General features: G+C 42.7%; 1 protein-coding gene and 1 pseudogene across 1 annotated transcript in view; one reads left to right on the top strand and one right to left on the bottom strand.

The window, feature by feature from the left end:
* Window positions 8,216–9,193, top strand: EIF3LP2 (eukaryotic translation initiation factor 3 subunit L pseudogene 2; annotated as a pseudogene).
* The window catches only part of ZNF33B (zinc finger protein 33B), a 64,402-nt gene continuing 59,942 nt past the window's right edge, over window positions 15,709–20,168 (bottom strand). Inside the window, exon 4 of the transcript NR_130951.2 lies at window positions 15,709–16,218. The gene's annotated coding sequence lies outside the window, so the exon portion shown is untranslated. The remainder of the gene's footprint in view (window positions 16,219–20,168) is intronic.

Consider the following 20,168-nt stretch of genomic DNA (forward strand, 5'->3'; position numbering starts at 1 on the left):
CTCTATTTTTGCATACTGCACAAAAAGCTTCAAAAGGAATCTTTCCTCATTTAATAAATCTCCACTTTTCAAACAATTCATCGCAAAGTATATGCTTGAATTTTGGTATTTGGCATTCAAATATACACAAATAAAAATAGGTAATAGCAACCATGACAAAAATTGAGCTGAGTGAATTTGATAATCTCACAGCTGCCTTAGCGTGTCTGTCACTCATAAGTCTGAACTCAGGACTAACATCAAACAGGGGTTGAACCATTGAAAGCATTACAAACTTGCAAACTAATAATCAATTGAAGTGGCCAGGCATGGTGGCTCACACCTGTAATCCCAGCACTTTGGAAGGCTGAGGCTGGTGGATCACAAGGTCAGGAGATTGAGACCATCCTGGCCAACACGGTGACACTCTGTCTGTACTAAAAAAAATATAAAAATTAGCTGGATGTGGTGGCACATGCTTGTAACCCTAGCTACTCCGGAGGCTGAGGCATGAGAATCGCTTGAACCCGAGAGTTAGAGGTTGCAGTGAGCCAAAATTGCGCCACTACACTCCAGCCTGGTGATAGAGTGAGATTCCTTCTCAAAAAAAAAAAAAAAGAAAAGAAAAAAAATCAATTGAAGTAGAGTTGCCTTTGAAGTGGCCTGAGACGGCTATCCTATCCTTGTCTGGTATCTGGGAATGTGAATTTTGGGAAGGTTTGGGAACCTGGATTTCAGAAGGGTTCCCTCCTCCCTCACTGATCAAATGGCTCACTGTACCTAAACAATATGGTTTCTGCGGAACACCTGCTTTTTTTCTGGGAATCTGGAATCTTGATTTCTGCACAATAGACAGTGTCTACACGAGCAGCCCCCCAATAAAAAGCCCAGGCACTGAGTCTCTAAGGAGCTTCTGTGACAACATTTTGCATTTGTTGTCACAGCATGTTGCTGGAGGAATTCAGCACATCCTATGTGGCTCCACTAGGAGAGGATGCTTGGAAGCTGGTACCAGGTTTCCTCTGGACATGGCCCTGTGACCTCTCCCCTTTGCTGACCTTGCTGTAATAAGTTGTAGCCATACTGTGACTATATGCCAAGTCCTGTCAGTCCTCCTAGCAATTTGTTTAGCCCAGAAGTGTTCTTGGGAATCCCCAATACAGTTGGCATCAGAAGCAAATTTTTTTTTACTTCTGACTCTGTCACCCAGGCTGGAGTGCAGTGGCACAATCATAGCTCACTGCAGCCTTGAGCTCCTGGGCACAAGTGATCCTCCTGCCTCAGCTGGGACTACAGGTATGTATCCTCCTGAATAGCTGGGACTACAAGCACGTGCCACCATCCCGGGCTCTTTTTTTTTTTTTCTGTAAAGATGGGGTCCTGCTATGTTGCCCAGGTTTATCTTGAGCTCCTGGCCTTAAGTGATCCTCCTGCCTCAGCCTCTCTAAGTGCTGAGATTACAGGTGTGAGTCATTGCACCTGGCCCAGAAGTGGAATTTGCTAGAACAGTCCTGATTCACTAAGATTTGGCTCCATCACTGTTTGGGAAAAGGAAGAATGAAGGGGAATGGTGATAAGCCTTGGTGTCTATCGAGCCCTCCATGGTTTGAGAGCAGCAGCTGAACTGCCATCTGCTGTTAGAAGCCACAGTGACCTTTGGGGTTAGAAATGGATCCAACCCTGGCTTCTTTGAGCTGTGCTGGATGAAGTGAGGGGGAAAGTATACATCTGGGGATTGGCTTTGTTTTTTATTCTCTTCTCCAGGTGGGAGGGTAAAAAAACAACAGTGACAAATTATAAAGGTGAGTGTTAGGTGGCCCCAAAAATGTTAGAAGTTCTCAGGGCTGGAGCAAAGCTGGGGTGGGAGGGTGGGAGGGTGGGAGGGTGGGGAGGGCACCAAGACTCCATCCAGCCTCTTCTTCAGCCCAGCTGCTGCCCTGTTGCAAGAGCTGCCTCCTTCTTTACCACCCCCTGTACCCTCCCCCATCTGCTTTCCAACCTGAATCTTTCCCACAGCAGTAATGCTAACCTAACTGCAAATGCTGGATTTACTGCTATGGATTTAGTTTGCAACAGAAAAAAAAATTTAATGGCTTTGTGTTTTGTGGCTATTACATCTAGATGTATTAATATGATAAAATTGATATAAAATGTTAAATGCTTTCAATTTCATAAATTCTAGAGGGAACACACTTATCAGGAAAAGCTGCAGCGGAAAGTGAAGGTGATACAACTTCCTTGCTTTTTGCAGCTAGTGGGCAGCTTGGAATTTAAATTCTCAATACTGGAAACAGAACAAGTCCCCAAAATTAACAATTTTTGCTACAGTTTTTGTCTATTGGAGCCACTGGAAAAAAGGAGACAATATGAAGAGAGGCAATCTTGAGCTAGAGATACGCTTTGGAATTTACAAGGCAGTTTTTCATCTCTAATGAGCTCTTGTAAGATCATATAGCTGACCCTCAGAGGCTGATGATTTTCTGGCCCCATGTGTATAGTTTTGAGTTGCTCAGCTTGGACTCTAAGGTGAATAATGTAAAAAGAGCCCAACAAAGCCTTGCTTGTCACTTGGCTAAGAACACAGCTGTCTGGCCCTGCAGCATCTCAGTCTCCAGTTACTGGAAGAACATATATTAGATGTTGGGGAAACTATAAGGCTACAGGATGATGCTGCATGTTGGCAGGGAGAATTGTTCAAGGTAGAAACTGTGGGGAACAAAGAAAGAGATTCTCATCTGTGTACCTGCTGCTACATGCTAATTTGGGAGTAAGAAAACTGTTAAGGAATAAAAAAGCCAAGAACTCTGTCTTCACAGGGCTTTCAGGCTAGAAGGGAAACTGGCCACCATACAAATTGTATACAACTCCATTAGTACTTAAGAGGTCTGATTTATTGCTTTGAAACACAAGTGCAGGAAGTTTAAGGTTTATCAGCAGCCTTTCCCTTTGCAGAAATTGTAAACTAAAAATGAAATCCTAAGCCCCCACCAACTGAAGGACACTCCCCTTAGCCAAGGGGACCCCAGAAAAATCTTACAATTGAGTTCCTGGCCATGATGGGATGGGAGGTCAGACATGTCTCATTATACCCCCTCATGTTTGTGGTTTAGACACAGCGACTGACCAGCATTAATGTTAAAATAGAGATCATAAGACTGGCAGAACAGACTTTTTGTGGCAATGAGATATCAATTATAAACAAGACCTAAGGCCATGCCAGGCAAGGGTTAGGTCAAGCACTCTAAACTTAAAGATTAACTATGGTCTAACTGCCACAAGGTTTTTCTTTTTTCTCTAGCAGCTAAATAAACACTGGCCTTGACATAAGCAAAATAAAAACAATTGTAGCTCATCACCAGACACTAATTGGCTCCCAACTCCTGTCCCAAGCACCATAACTACAGCTTTGATTAGACAAGAGACTGATTTCAGTAACTTTCTCCTGATAAGAAGACCACCCACCATGAACTGGTTCTGGCTGGTTTTACAGAGATTGCACACTTGAGTGCCTTCGTGTCCTGTAAAGACCTTTTGACTGATAGGGCCTAATTATAATACATTCAAGTGTTAGGACTCCACCCCAAAGTGAACATGGGTCATGTATTACATGCATGTTGGTTCAATACATGTGCCTCAGGACCACCTTCATGCATATTCATAGCTCCTCCTATAACCTGTTGAAGATGTATGTTTAGCTAACTTGTCCAGCATAATGCTCCTACCCCAACCTATATTCCTTCAAAGTGCCTGTCCCTAGTCCCTGGTCTTAGCCAGAGGCATTCTTCTCAGCCTGTTGCAGGCTGTAACCCCTTATAAGAAATAAAGCCTCCTCTCCATTCCAAATAGTTAAATCTTGTGAATTGTTTTTGTTTTGTTTTGTTTTGTTTTGTTTTGTTTTGTTTTGTTTTGAGATGGAGTTTCACTCTTGTCACCCAGGCTGGAATGCAATGGCACGATCTTGTGTCACTGCAACTTCTGCCTCCCAGGTTCAAGCGATTCTCTTGCCTCAGTCTCCTGAGTAGCTGGGAATACAAGCACCTGCCACCATGCCTGGCTAATTTTTGTATTTTTAGTAGAGGTGGGGTTTCATCATGTTGGCCAGGCTGGTCTCAAAATCCTGACTTCAGGTGATCCACCTGTCTCTGCCTCCCAAAGTGCTGGGATTACAGCTGTGAGCCACCGCACCTGGCCTAAATCTTGTGATTTTTAAATTCAACAGAGTCAATTAAATGGTTCCTTGATAGAGAAACATTTAAGGCAGACATTAGCTTTTATTGCCCCATAACGCTTCAGTAAGTTTCCCTGAATATTTGCATTTACTTGTCAATCAACTCACAGGGACTGAGGCAGAAGTAAAACCCACAATTACCTTACCCCTGGCCTGTGTGACAAAGTAACAAATCTTTTATCACATATTTGAGAGGCATCTCAGCTACCAAGAACTTTTTTTTTAACCTTTTATTTTAGGTTCAGGGGGATATGTGCAGGTTTGTTATGTAGGTAAACTCGTATCACAGGGGTTTGTTGTACAGATTATTTCATCACCCAGGTACTAGGCCTAGTACCCAATAATTATTTTTTCTGGTCCTCTCCCTCCTCCTACTCCACCCTCATGTAGGCCCAGTGTCTGCTGTTCCCCTTTGTGTCCATGGGTTCTCATTATTTAGCTCCCACTTATAAGTGAGACTGGGCGATTGCTGACCTGCATCACTCTTGGGTGGATCTAACAGGACATAAGTAAAAGACCCTTGGCCACAACCACTACCAAAGTCCCTTTTTCTGCTGCCTCCAAGTTGGGGAGGAAACATAAGCCCTAAGATCACCCCAGAGCTGTGGTGAGAAGCCCAGGAGAGAAAAAAACCTGAGTAGTTTTAAACTAGAATATCCATGTGGCTTTTTAAAGATGTTTGCAATTTTTTTGCTATTCTCCCTTTGAGATATGGGGGTCTATGCCCACCCTTACCAGACTGGACACTAGTGCTCACTTGTCACTGACACATGACATGAAAGTGATGCTGTGTAACTTCCAAAGTTATGTTTAAAAAGGCCATGAGCATCTGCCTGGTTCACTCAGGTCACTCACCTATGGTGCCCTTGATCACCAAGTCAAAGCTCTGAATGTCCTGAGAGTGCTCTGCTACCTGGAATCCCAGGGTAACTGGGAGGTCTCCTATAGGTCCTGAAGCCAAGCCCCATGTCCTCTGCAGACATGTGAGTGAAGTCACCTCCAGATGATGCCAACCCTTTGCTGTGGATTCAACTCCGGCCAATGAGTCTTCTCTGCAGTCCCCAAACACCAATAAACAGCAATAAGCCATCTTTTCTGTTTCTTCCTAGCCCTGTGAACCATGAACAAAATAAAATGGTTGTTTCATGCATTATTTTACGGTGGTGGTTCTTTCTTTTAAAAAAATTCACGGTAAAAGCGCCAAGAATAACACACTTGTAGGACATTCACAAGGCACAAAATAACATACATTGAAATCTAGGTTTCCTTCTTTCCTTCTTCCACAGCCTATCAGGTTCTGCCTCTGGAAGTAATAATGGTTAAGTTTCTGCACATCTTTCCAGATTTATTAATTAAACAATCATATAGCACTGACACTGTGAGGAAGCTTTTTAAGGGCTTTGCTTATATTTATTCACTTACTCTTCACTCACTGCGGACACTCAGGTGGCAGCAGGAAGGAAAGTGTTTTGCTCAACCAAATGAAAGTTTGATCTGCTCTTTGAATGCTGTTCCTTCAATCAGATAATTCTATTTTCTTCATATATTACCAAGTCTTTTTATTTTCTCCCCTAATTGAGCATTCAGAGATGTGACTCTGTTTTCTAGTTTTTCTTACGTTTCACCACTAAATCTTAAATTTCATATGAGACAGACAGTGATGAAATTCCTGTCACTGGACATATATATGTATGTTTATGATGGTGCCTTACACATACACATTTTTCTATCTAGCGATTAACCATTAAAACTCTATACTCAGAGTGAGGAAACATTACACGTTCCTTCCCAAACCCTGTCAACTACCCTGTCAATTAAATAATCCCTGAAAAAATGGCAACATCTATATTAATGCGGTTTTTATATCTCATCAATGACCCATTTGATAAAATAGTTCTAGAAACTTGTAATGAACCAGCAGTGATGGAAATTTGTACTGAACTATTTCATATCTAAAAGGGTATCTACTTTGTTTTAGACATGACAACTCTCTCATGTTTTAGAATTTTCCATTGTTGCATGTTTAAAGGGCTTGTCAATTCCCTTCCCTTTCCTAATTCTCATGACCAGATCATAAGAATGTGTGTGATCAGGCTGGTTGATGTGCCACAACACATCTTTAATCCTGGAATTTAGGGTTATCAGAAGTCTCCATTTAAAAAAGTATCATATGCTTTCAAACAACCCACTGTTGAACATATAGTGCTTCATTTCTCTTAATGTCTCAGTGAATAGCCAGCCTTTTATGCATACATGAATAGAGGATCTCTCAACAAATTCAGAGATTCAGAAATAAGTACATAAACTTAGTTGCATAGAGAGAAAAAATAGGTAATATACATAAGTGATAAAAGAAGGTTTTATATAATTACTTTTTCAAACTAAATTTATAATAGTGCTTTTTAAACTAAATCTGGAACAAATTTTAAATTATTTAATCTAGAAATGTCCAGTGATTCAGGAACAGTAGAAATGGGTGAGGAGAGCATTTCAACTCAAGCAAGGAACTCCTTTTATTCTCAACACATTAGCTTTTTCCCTCTTCACTCTAAAATGTTCACTATCAAATATAATTGAGAGGTCTTTTTTCCTCATTTAACATTTATTTCATACACAGAGAATAATACTGTGGGTCTGAGATTCAGTTTTTGAAATGCAACATATACTCTAAGTGACCCTTTTACCCATGTCAAAATAGCAGCAGTTGGACCCCATAATGTGGCATGTATTCATTTGAAAATTCTACAGTGACCTATCACTGTGATCATGTGATGAAGCATATCTTGCCTTCCATTCTAACTGTCACTCTGTGAGCTTCGAGGTTCAAGTTTGACAGCATTTGTCAATTTCGGAATGTCATACAAAGAACGCTCAAATATGGGGAATTTTATGTACTGTTGCTGAGATATGTTCACTTTCATCTTCCGATCATGGTTTCTTCAAATAGGCCAGTTCACTTGTACTCAAAATCTCTTCCTCATTTTTTTGTTTCCCCCACTCCAATTCGTCTATGGATTTATGAACATATTTTATAGTATTATTACTGATTTGTACTTTTGATTCTTCCACCAAGCGTTTTGTCTTAAATATTTTCCTATTTTTAGAAAAATGTACTGTTTCTAAACACTTTTGTACACAATGTTTCATAGGATACAGAAAAAACACAACCACACTGTCTTCATCAGATGAGGAGAATCTTGATACCAAATACAGTATGAGACATTCCATGAAAGGGAAATTATAGACCAAAGTCTTCTGAGTATAAAAGTCAAAATCTGAAACCAAATATTAGAGTGGTCTAAATCTGGAGATTTTTAGGAAAAGAAACTGAAATTTCATGGTGGGAAACATAATTTTGCTTAGCTTAGAGGTTTTGAGGGATTGTTTTAAAGAAAAATTTAAAAGATAAATAACATTAAATGGATATAAAAGTTATAAAATAAAAATATAAAGTTATAAAAATTAAAATAAAAATATATTCATATATTAATATAAAATTGTAAAAATATTATAAAAGGTTATAAAAATATTATAAAAGGTTACAAAATTCTTTTGCTGTCAAGATTGACTGGGATTAGATTTGTTTATAAGGTCTTATTAAAATTAGCCATAATATTAAAAATACGGCTGGGTGCGGTGGCTCACGCCTGTAATCCCAGCACTTTGGGAGGCTGAGGCAGGCAGATCACCAGGTCAGGAGAAAGAGACCATCCTGGCTAACAAAGTGAAACCCCGTCTCTACTAAAAATATAAACATTAGCCGGGCATGGTGGCGGGCGCCTGTAGTCCCAGCTACTTGGGAGGCTGAGGCAGGAGAATGGCGTGAACCCGGGAGGCGGAGCTTGCAGTGAGCCGAGATTGCGTTACTGCATTCCAGCCTGAGCAACAGAGCAAGACTCTGTCTCAAAAAAATAAAAATAAATAAATAAATAAATAAATAAAAATATTAAAAATACATTAATATCCAACTAAATTTTTTTTAAAAAAATAAGCGTAAGATTTTTTCCCCATCGAACTTAACAAAAAGAGTATGTATTCCCGTGTGCCAGAGTGCCAGATCACCACATACTATTATGTTGGGTTTGCATATTTGATGATGTGTCGCTACCAGGATGCCATCCGGGTCTTTGCCAACAGCCTCCTCTACATCCAGAGGACCAAGAGCATGTTCCAGAGGACCACATACAAGTATGAGATGATTAACAAGCAGAATGAGCAGATGCATGCACTGCTGGCCATTGCCCTCACGGTGTACCCCATGAGTATCGATGAGAGCATTCACCTCCAGCTGCAGAAGAAACACAGGGACAAGATGCTGCGCATGCAGAAAGGTGACCCACAAGTCTATGAAGAACTTTTCAGTTACTTCTGCCCCAAGTTCCTGTCGCCTGTAGTGCCCAACTATGATAATGTGCACCCCAACTACCACAAAGAGCCCTTCCTGCAGCAGCTGAAGGTGTTTTCTGATGAAGTACAGCAGCAGGCCCAGCTTTCAACCATCCACAGCTTCCTCAAGCTCTACACCACCATGCCTGTGGCCAAGCTGGCTGGCTTCCTGGACCTCACAGAGCAGGAGTTCAGGATCCAGCTTCTTGTCTTCAAACACAAGATGAAGAACCTGGTGTGGACCAGCGGCATCTCAATCCTGGATGGTGAATTTCAGTCAGCCTCAGAGGTTGACTTCTACATTGATAAGGACATGATCCACATCGCGGACACCAAGGTCTCCAGGCGCTATGGGGATTTCTTCATCCGTCGGATCCAAAAATTGGAGGAGCTTAATCGAACCCTGAAGAAGATGGGACAGAGACCCTGATGACATTCACACACATTATTTAGGAACCTGTTTTGATATATTACAGGCAGGAAGTGTTTTTGCTACCGTGAAACCTTTACCTAGATCAGCCATCAGCCTGTCTACTCAGTTAACAAGTTAAGGACCGACGTGTTTCAAGTGGATATCAGTAAAGGATCTTTGGAGCCAGAAAAAAAAAAAAAAGATTTGTTCTCAATGAGATTACACACAGTAATAATTTTTAATTCTCAAATCTGTTTCTTTTTAAAACTTCTGAGATTTGTATCTCAGAAGTTCAACCTTTACTATATTTTTTTACACATTATTTACAGATCACACATCATTACCCTTTGTTTCTTTTCTCCTTCAAAAGGTAAATCTTTTTACTTGGCTAGAATGGTAACTTTGTACTTCAACTTTTCCATCAGCTCTTTTAACTTTTCCCTCATATTCTATTTCTGCTGTTATAATACCAAAATATTGATCCCAAAGGTAAAAATAAATTCTTTCTCAGGGGTAACATGATTTTTTACTCTTAACTTTTTGATATGTCTGAATTGTTGCATGTAATCAGGAAACTTCCCATGCTATTAGGTTGGTGCACAAGTAATTGTGGTTTTTGCCATTACTTTCAATGGCAAAAACTGCAATTACCGCACCAACCTAATACTAGGAGCCATATATCCACCTGCTCAAGGTGCTAGCTTTCATGTTTACATTCTTCTATAATACAATGTTCACTCATGACCTTGAATACATTGTGCCTGTGTCTAATTAAATTCAAGTATCTTTTTCATCAGGTTTGACTTCCAAGTTATTTAAACCGACTTTACTTAGGCACTTCCCATTCTCAAGTATGCCTTAGTCCAGGTTGTTCAGATAGTTGCTCAGATTAAGCCAGTGAGATGATTGGGGTCACAGATTTAATTCATTAAGCCACTAAAGCATCAGCCCAGATAGCCATATTTTCAGTTAATTTCAATTAGCTGCTCATGAAGGGTTGGCCAGTTGAATGGAAGTTGATTCTTGGCACAGCCTTCAAGTGGCAATTGGTTTAAAATGTCCTGAGTTCTGAGCCAGCCTGGGGGCTGATACAGTTTGGATATGCGTCCCTGCCCAAATCTTATGGTGGATTGTAATCCTCAATATTGGAGACAACTGGTTGAGAGGTGACTGGGTCATGAGAGTGTATGTCTCATAAATGGTTTAGCATCATCCCCTTGTTGCTGCTCTTGCAACAGTGAGATTTGGTTGTTTAAAAGTGTGTGACACCTCCTCCTACCTTGCTCCTACTCTGGCCTTGTGATGTGCATGCTCCCACTTAGCCTTCTGTTATGATTCTAAGTTTCCTGAGGCCTCCCCAGAAGCCACGCAGATGTCCGTATCATGCTTCCTGTAAAGCTTTCAGAACGCTGAGCCAATTAAATCTCTTTTCTATATAAATTACCCAGTCTCAGGAATTTGTTGTTGTTGTTTTATTTGGGGGGTTTTTTGTTTGTTTTGAGACAGAGTCTCACTCTCACCCAGGCTGGAGTGCAGTGGCATGATCTCGGCTCACTGCAACCTCCATCTTCTGAGTTCAAGCGATTCTCCTGCCTTGGCCTCCTGAGTAGCTGGGATTACAGACGCATGCCACCATGCCCAGCTAATTTTTGTATTTTTAGTAGAGACAGGGTTTCACTATGTTGGTCAGGCTGGTCTCAAACTTTTGACCTCGTGATCTGCCCACCTTGGCTTCCCAAAGTGCTGGGATTACAGGCGTGAGCCACCGTGCCCAGCCAGGAATTTCTTTACAGCAATGTGAGAATGGCCGAATACAGAAAATTAGTACTAAGGAGTGGGGCATTAGTATAAAGGTACCTGAAAATGAGGAAGCACCTTTGGAACTGGGTAATGGGCAGAGGTTGAAAGAGTCTGGAGAACTTGGAAGAAGACAGGAAGATGAGGGAAAGTTTAGAACTTCTTAGAAATTGGTTAAATGGTTGTGACCAAAATGCTGATAGTGATATAGAAAGTGAAGTCCAGGCTGATGAGGTCTCAGATGGAAATGAGGAACTTATTGGAAACTAGAGCAAAGGTCACGCATGTTATGCCTTAGCAAAGAGCTTGGCTGGATTCCATCCAAGTCCTAGGGATCTATGGAAGTTTAAACTTGAGAGTGATGTCCTAGAGTATCTGGCAAAAAAAAATTTCTAAGCAACAAAGTGTTCAAGAAGTGGCATGGGCCAAGCATGGTGGCTCATGCCAGTAATCCTAGCACTTTGAGAGGCCAAGGCAGGCAGATAGCTTGAGCCCAAGAGTTCAAGACCAGCCTGGGAAACATGGCAAAATCCCATCTCTGACTAAAAATATAAAAAAAAATACCTGGCCTAGTGGCATGAGCCCATAGTCCCAGCTACTCAGGAGGCTGAGATGGGACAATTACCTAAGCCTGGGAAGTCCAGGGTGCAGTGATCCATGTTTATGCCATGGCACTTCAGCCTGGGTGACAGAGTGAGACCTTGTCTCAAAAACAAAACAAAACAAACAAAACAAAACAAACAAACAAAAACTGGTGTGACTGCTTCTAACAGCCTATGCTGGGATGTGGAAGCAAAGAAATAAGTTGGAACTTCTATTTAAAAGGTAACCAGCAAATAAAAGTTTGGAAAATTTGCATCCTGGAGCCTGGCCATGCAGTAGGAAAAAAAAAAAAAAAAACCAAAAACCCAAAGCCCATCGTCAGAAGAATTCAAGTGGGCTGCTGAGTAACCACCTGCTAGAGAAATTTGATAACTAAAAAGAAGGCAAGTGCTGATAGCCCAGACAATAAAAAGCCTTGAAGGCATTTTAGAGATCTCAGAGGCAGCCTATCCAAACACAGGATCAGAGGCCCAGGGAAGAATGGTTTTGGAGGCCAGGCCCAGGCCTACACTGTCCTGCACATCCTCAGGACACTGCTCCCTGCCTCTTGGCAACTCCAGATCCAGCTGTGGCTTAAAGGGGCCAGGGGTAGCTTGGGCTGCTGCTCTGACAAGTGTAAGTCATAAGCCTTGGTGGCTTCCACATGGTGTTAAGTCTGCTGGTGCACAGAATGCAAGAGTGAATGAGGCTTGGCACCTCTACCTAGATTTCAGAGGATGTGTGGAAAAGCTTGGGTGTCCAGTCAGAAGCTTGCTGCAGGGGTGGAGCCCTCACAGAGAACCTCTACTAGGGTGGTGTAGAGGAAAACTGTGGGGTTGGAGCCCCCACATAGAGTCTGTACTGGGGCATTTGCTAGTGGAGCCACCATCCTCCAGACCCCAAAATGGAAGATCTACTGGCAGCTTGCACCCTGCACATGGAAAAACTGCAAGCACTAAACTCCAGCCCATGAGAACAGCTTTGGGGGCTGAAGCTTGCAAAGCCACAGAGGCAGAGCTGCCCAAGACCTCAGGAGCCCATTGCTTGCACCAATGGCCTGGATGTGGGACATGGAGTCAAAGAAAATTATTATTGAGCTTTAAGATTTAATGATTGCACTGCTGAGTTTTGAATATGTGTGGAGCCCGTAGCCCCCTTTTTTTGGCCTATTTATCCCTTTTGGAATGGGGTTTGTAACCCAATGCTTGTACTTCCATTGTATTTTGGAAGTAACTCTAACTTGTTTTTTATTTTACAGGTGGAAGAGATTTACCTTGTCTCAGATGAGACTTTGGACTTCAGACTTTTAAGACAATGCTGGAATGGGCTAAGACTTTGGGAGACTGTTGGGAAGGCATAACTGTATTCTGAAATGTGAGAAGGACATGAGATTTGGGAGTGGCAAGGGGTGGAATAATATAGTTTGGATATGTGTCCCTTCCCAAATCTCATGTTAAATTGTCATCCCCAGCATTGGAGGTGGGGCCTGATGGGAGGTGATTGGCTCATGGGGGTAGTTTTCTCATGAATGGTTTAGCACCATCCCCTTGGTGCTGTCCTTGCAAAAGTGAGTTCTCATGAGATCTGGTTGCATAAAAGTGTGGGGCATCTTGCTCTCACTCTCTCTTGCTTCTGCTGCTGCTATATGGGATGCCTATTTCCCCTTCACATTCCACCATGATTGGAAGATTCTGGAAGTCTCCCAAGAAGCAGATGCCACTATGCTTCCTCTACATCCTGCAGAATGATGAACCAATTAAACCTCTTTTCTTTATGAATTACCCAGTTTCAAGTATTTCTTTATATCAATGCAAGGATGGACTAATACGGGGCCAAGCAGACCATGGTCCCTTAGGATGGTCAACTGATTATAAGGTGGCTTATACTGCAAGGTGAGGTCAGGGATTAAAACCTAGAGGTTGAAAGATTCTTTTTTTATTACTGTTTCAGCTCTTCTTTTGACTTAGCCACCTCTTCCAGGGCATCAGATTCCTGAAGCAACTTTGGGGTAGGAGCAGTTGAGAAAGCAAGTGAAAATAGCCCTTTGTTCAGGGTTCAGGGAATTATTTCAAGGTCTTGGGTCTTCAGAGACCTCAGTCCCCAGAAAACCAATTACCTTCTTGTGCCAGATCCATCACTCATCAGTGCTGTGACTCTGGGCAGACCACTTCAAATCTCTCCATTTCACTTCCCTGAGCTGTCAAATATGGGTTGTAGCCCCTGCTCTGCGCATTCCTCCAGGCTGATGTAAGCATCACAAGAAATAACAGATATTCTCCATGAGCTGTAAAGCATCATACCTATGGAAAAAAAGAAGAAAATCCCATCCTCCACTCCCCTGGAGCCACCCACGTTTCTTCTCTGTATTCAACAACTACCAAGGTTCTGGCATATTCTTCTAGACATATAATGATTGAACACTTTAGGTCACTTATGAATTGCCAGTCTTCTAAAGGCTTTACCTCCATTTCACCATTTTTAGCCTTATAACATACGCCATATTAACATTTCAATACCTCAGAACAGGGAACTGAGGCACAGAGAGGTCTCTATAACTTTGTCAGGTTTGTGCATCTTCTAAGTAGGACTTGAACCCCCATCTTTATGCACCAGGCCCAGTGTTCTTGGTCACTCCAATATTTCTATATTGTCTCATCTCAATACAGGTATTTGCCTACATAGTCAGTCTGTTGGTTATGAGTGCAACTCACACTGCAGGTTCTTGTTAAAATCCAACTGAGATTCAGGGGGTTTCGCTATGCAGATGGTGAACAATGGGTCAAACATTTAAACTGTCAATAAATGATTACTCATTTCTCTATGGTCTTTGGCAGGAAGATGTCAAAAACTGTCTTTTTCATAGTACATTTCCCAGCATCTTGCCTCCAGGGTATGACAGTAGATCTTCAGGGATCAAGGGAATCTACTGTCCACACCAAGCTGAGGAAGAGAATACTCTGCCACTGGCCTCATAACTAGGCGCACCCCGGAAAGCAGTCAACTGAAAGTACTGTGGAAATTAAATTGTTAAGTTCATTCAAGGATAACAATTCTAGATTATTCAGCGTCCCATATTTCAGACAACTCTAAAATTGCTATGCCATATTATTTCATGTGTGCAAATTTAAGTTTATTAAGTCAATCACTAGTGCTACAACTACAGAAGATACATTTACAACTTCAAAATTGTTTCAGTTTTAATAGCATAGAATATCTCAATGTAGTATTTAGATATTTAGCTGCTTGTTAAACATTAACTAAAATGAAACACTTCCTGAACAATGCTGCCATATTTTTTAAATTAATGGACATTATATGAAACTGTTTTGAATTAACATAAAAACTGATGAAGTAGTACAGAAAGTTCTCATACACCCTTCCCCCACCTCAGCATCCTTTTTGTAATCACATCTTACATGAGTGTGGTAAATGTTACAATGACTGAAATAATATTGATACATTCTTATTAATGAAAGTCTAGAGTTTGGCACAGAGGTAGAGATGGACAATCTTGATGTCCAGTTTTTTCATAGCTGTATGTATCCAGTAATTAATTTCCCATTTGGTAGGAGGGCAACAGTTTTATCAATATTTGTATCGTATGTTAGTGTAGGCGACATTACTTCTCCATTAGATGCTGGCTTCATTTCTTGTTGTACTTGAAATTAGACTTCTCACAGACCAGCAAGGGGCCTGCAACCATTCACATACTACTGAGGGTTGCCATGGTTATGTTGGCCCTACAGGAGCTTGACAAACCGTAGGTGGTCTTCTTATCGGGAGAAAGTTACTGAAATCAGTCTCTTGTCCAATCAAAGCTGCAGTTATGGTTTGTGGAACAGGGGTTGGAGGTTAGTCAGTATCTGGTGTTGAGCTACAATTATTTTAATATTGCTTGAGGGTCAGTGCTTATTTAGCTGCTAGAGAAAAATTAACTTGTGGCAGTTAGAACACAGTTTATTCTTTAAGTTTAGGGTGCGTGACTTAACCCTTACCTGTTGTGGCCTTCAGTCCTGTTTATAATTCGGTATCTCATTGCCACAAATAGTCCATTATGTCAGTCTTATGATCGCTAATTTCACAGTAATGCTGGGCAGTTGTGTCTAAACCATAAACATGAGGGAGTATAATGAGATGTGTCTGAACCTCCTCCCATCTCATCATGGCCAGAAACTCAGTTTTAAGGTATTTCTGGGGTCTCTTTGACCAAGGGAGGGCCTGTTCAGTCAGTGGCGGGTTAGAATTTTATTTTTAGTTTACAACTCCCACAAAGGCAAAGGCTGCTGCTAAGCATCTGCACTTGTGTTTCAAAGCAACGCACTTTTTTTTTTTTTTTTTTTGAGACAGAGTCAAAAGACGGGGCACACAGAAAAGTCATGCAACATGGTGGTCCTACCACCACCTACAGCCTCTCCTCCTCATTAAAGTGGCCTATGGAGGGCTTAGCCCAGCAGGCTTAGAGCTTCTACAGAATGGGTATCTGCTCCCTGGGAGGATGTTCTCGGGACATCCTTCAATTGCCTGCAGGGATTTTGGGGGTTGTTTTCAAAGCACAAGTGTGGTCCCGGCTAAGAGCAGCCTATCAGCACTCTCCTCGGATGTGTTGGTTTCCTTGATGGGCCAAAAGAAAGTGAGAAGCCGCTGAAAACACATACACTTATTTGCCTTCCCTTTTTTATGTTACCCACTCCACCATCACATTTCCTCTTCCTCTTTTTCTCCATCCTTCATATCTTCCATATCTTCTCTGAGATGGAGGACAAGAAGTCAGCAAGTTTGTGTCTCGGTGAGTTATTTCAAGGTACATACCACTCTCTCCTGAGGCTGATGACATCTGCAATCATATTTTAAAAGCACTGTGAGGATTATATTATGCTGTGCACTTCACACAGGTCTGTTTTTTCTCTTGACTTTAGGAACCTAGAAGGGGTACAGTGGTTACGTCAAAAATCAAAGTTCCCCAAAACTAGCACAGAGGATACCTGTGGAAAAGATAACACCTTTTCCTGCCACATTTATCTTTCAAATTGATTTAGATTAGCAGTGGCACAGTCCTTAATTCAAAAGGGAAAAGTGGTGCTGAGGGAGATGCCTCTACATTACAGTTTATCATGGAAACTGTCAGTTGGTAAGAGATGCCCACCTAATACCACCTCAACCAAGGGTATTACATGTCTCCCATAATGTACATTTTCAGATTTTTATCTCTAAATTTCACTGGTAAAGAAATAAACCAGGAAAGCAAAATTTCTGTATAAGAAAGAAGCGTGGTCTTACATTGACAAGGTCTTCTTTATTTGGAGATGACTTGTCCAAAAGTTTCTCCAAAAGCTAGGACGACACAGAGTGACTATCAGTGCCCTGGAGGTTGGTGATTATGGATCACTCAGGGAGCTGTGCTTAATGTGGCGCGTGGAGGTGGTTGGTTCACATGCATGGACTGAGTTGACACAGGGCCATCCTCCAGGGTGGAGGAAGGATGGCAAAGAGGAGCAGCAGGAAAGAAATGAGAAACCACCAGGAGCCTGGAAGAAGGACAGGTTTCCCCTAGAAGCATCAGAGGGAACCTGGCCCTGCCTATGGATTTTGCACTACTAGCTCCGAGAACTGAGACATTTCTGTTTTTTTAACCCCCCAGTTTATGGTCCATGTGATTTCAGGCCTAGGAAGCTAATACACTAAGACAAATCAATATACCTCTATTTTGAATTTGCATTCATTTCTTTCATGTATGCCCCTAATATTTCCACAATTATGATGATTTTTGTGTTTATCTTTCTATATTTTATATACCACTAGTGTCATTTTATGTTAATTTAATTTCCCTGGTCGTGAAGACATTATAAGTTTATAATGACTGCATAATAATATATATATATATATACATATATATTTTTTTTTTTTGAGACAGAGTCTCACTGTGTAGCCCAAGCTGGAGTGCACTAGAGCAATCTCAGCTCACCACGACATCTGCTTCAGGGCTCAAGCGATTCTCGTGCCTCAGCCTCCCCAGTAGCTGGGACTACAGACAAGCGCCACCACGCCTGGCTAATTTTTTTTTTTTTGAGATGAAGTCTCGCTCTTGTCCCCCAGACTGGAGTGCAATGACAGGATCTCAGCTCATGCAACTTCCGCCTCCGGGTTCAAGCAATTCTCCTGCCTCAGCCTTCTGAGTAGCTGGGATTACAGGTGCCTGCCACCATGCCCAGCTAATTTTTGTATTTTTAGTAGAGACAGGGTTTCACCATGTTGGCCAGGCTGGTCTCGAACTCCTGACCTCACGTGATCCGCCCGCCTTGGCCTCCCAATAATTTTTTGTATTTTAGTAGAGACAGGGTTTCACCATGTTTCCCAGGGTGGTCTCGAACTCCTGAGCTCAGGCGATCTGCCCGCCTCAGCCTCCCAAAATGCTGAGATTACAGGTGTGAGCCACTGCGCCCGGCCACAATATTATTTTTATCATAGGTACTAATACATATTGATTTTTAGCTAATTCGAATTGCTTATTAATATCAATAAAAATATGCAGATCTTGTTATTGAAGCTCTATGGATCTGTGAGCTCAGGGGAGATGCCTCCGTGTGCAGTGGGAAGCCTCAGGTGCAACATGCCTGGCATCTCCTGCTCAAGATAGAGTGCAGGCAGGGAGCTTGCTGGGCATGTTTGCAGGAGGGAGACTAGACTGAGGCATGAGAAACAATCTGTCACCCACACCCACCAGTGCTTTCATGCCTGAGTCAGACCAGAGCTTTTCAGATGTTACTGTGCGCACCCATCATCTGAGATCCTGTAAAGTGTGAATTCTGATTCCGTGGGTCTGGAATAGGACCTGACTTTGCATTTCTAAGGGGTCCTTTCCCCCAATTTTTCCCATACATATTTTAATATCCTCAAATTCATAAGAATGGTGGAAAACAAGAAGGAAAGCTATGAGCAGACAGAAACCAAAGAGTAATCTCTTGCAGAGAGAACTAAAGACTTTTGACTTAAAAATTTCCCAGTCCAGGGCCGGGCGCCGTGGCTCATGCCTATAATCCCAGCACTTTGGGAGGCCAAGGCGGCTGGATCACCTGAGGTTAGGAGTTTGAGACCAGCCTGACCAACAAGATGAAACCCTGTCTCTACTAAGAATACAAAAACTAGCCAGCTGTGGTGGCAGGCGCCTGTAGTCCTAGCTACTCAGGAGGCTGAGACAGGAGAATTGCTTGAACCCGGGAGGTGGTGGTTGCAGTGAGCTGAGATCGTGCCATTGCACTCCAGTCTGGGTGACGGAGCAAGACTCCATCTCAAAAAAAAAAAAAAAAAAAAAAAATTCCCAGTCCAGGCTGGAAGATGGCTAGAGAGGACAGCTGAGATGCTGACAGAGGTGCCACTTTAAGAAACAAACCAGAAATGAAAGTAAACACACCCCAAACCTCGACCTCCCCTCTGACTCCTGTTCAATCTCCCCACTGGTGCCTCCTCCAGTCTTTGACAGAGTGTGGAACATCCTCACCCTCTCCCATTCCTTATCTCTGATTCACAATTTCCCATCTTGATTCTCCAGTCTCTCTTTCCTACCGTCTCCTTCTCCCCTGTGACCTCCTCACTTAGTCAGCAAGTTCTCTATGTCCAAACAGCCATGGGAAGTTTTTCAGATCTTGTAAGTTGTCACTTGCATCCCCTTCCTTTAGTGAATCTCTCTAACCCTTCACTTCAGAAAAAGCCCCAAGGCTTCTGATTCTCCAGTACTTTCTCCTTCTACTCCCGGGGTTCTCCTCACTTGACAGAGAATTCAGTGGATCTATCAATCAGGTGAATTTGTCCTCCCCAGCACTCACCAGACTGCTTACTATGTGCTGATCTCCTGAGCAACCAAGTGGGGAGAGAGAAACCTGGCTTCATGAGTATCCTGGCAAGTGGATTCAGGGCTGAATCGCCCCTGCTTGTAGATAATGTATGCTTATTTCAGCTGCAATTTGTATATGAGATAACCCTTCCCTTAAGAACTCCCTATAAAGTGAGAATTGTGCACCCTGTTCCCACTGAGGAGGCCTACATAGAAAACTAAAGACTGAGACATCAGGCGGCTGCCCTGAGGGAGAACCTCACTGTGTCATTAGGCAGTGAGTGGGCAGGGGTCCTGGCCTAGGTGGAAGCAGGAGCCTCTGTGAAAACCACCCCTCCTCTAGTCACAGAGAGGATAGCCGGTGGGCCTGCCCTGAGGGGACCTCTGGGGCTCTCAGCTGGGGAAATGAGGAAACAGACACTGATCCTGGCCTCCGCTCAGGACTCATTGGGCTAGCAGCTGAGTCCTCCCTGGGACCCTGCAGAGCCTCAAGCCAGGCTGAGCACAGGCCCACGCCTCCCAGAAATGACACCCAGCCACAGGGCTGCAGGAAAGACCCAGCGAGGCTTTGGTTGGCCAAAAATTTGCATGAAGGGCTCCTGTTTCTCCACGGTCTGGAGGGTGGATAAGAGGCCTGCAGCATGGCTGCCTCGGCACAGCACTGGGGTATCTGGACAGTGGCATACACCCTACTCCTCCTCTTCATCCTCCTCCTTCATGGGACAGGCCAACATGGTCCTCGGCATCCTGATCCCTGGCTCACTCATGATGCAACTGTCCCCTCTTCTCCTTCCTCCAGGATGTAATGAGTTTGTTTTCAGGTTCCCTCTCCCAGCCAGGGAGTCTCAGCCAAGCTCACCTGCACACTGAGCAGTAAGCATAGGACCTACACCACTGCATGGTAGCATGGACAGGGAAGCCCCTTGGTGTGTGATGTGGCTTAAGAGTGATGGAAA

This window comes from Homo sapiens, chromosome 10 (genome assembly GCF_000001405.40).
Source record: "Homo sapiens chromosome 10, GRCh38.p14 Primary Assembly".
NCBI classification, from domain to species: domain Eukaryota; kingdom Metazoa; phylum Chordata; class Mammalia; order Primates; family Hominidae; genus Homo; species Homo sapiens.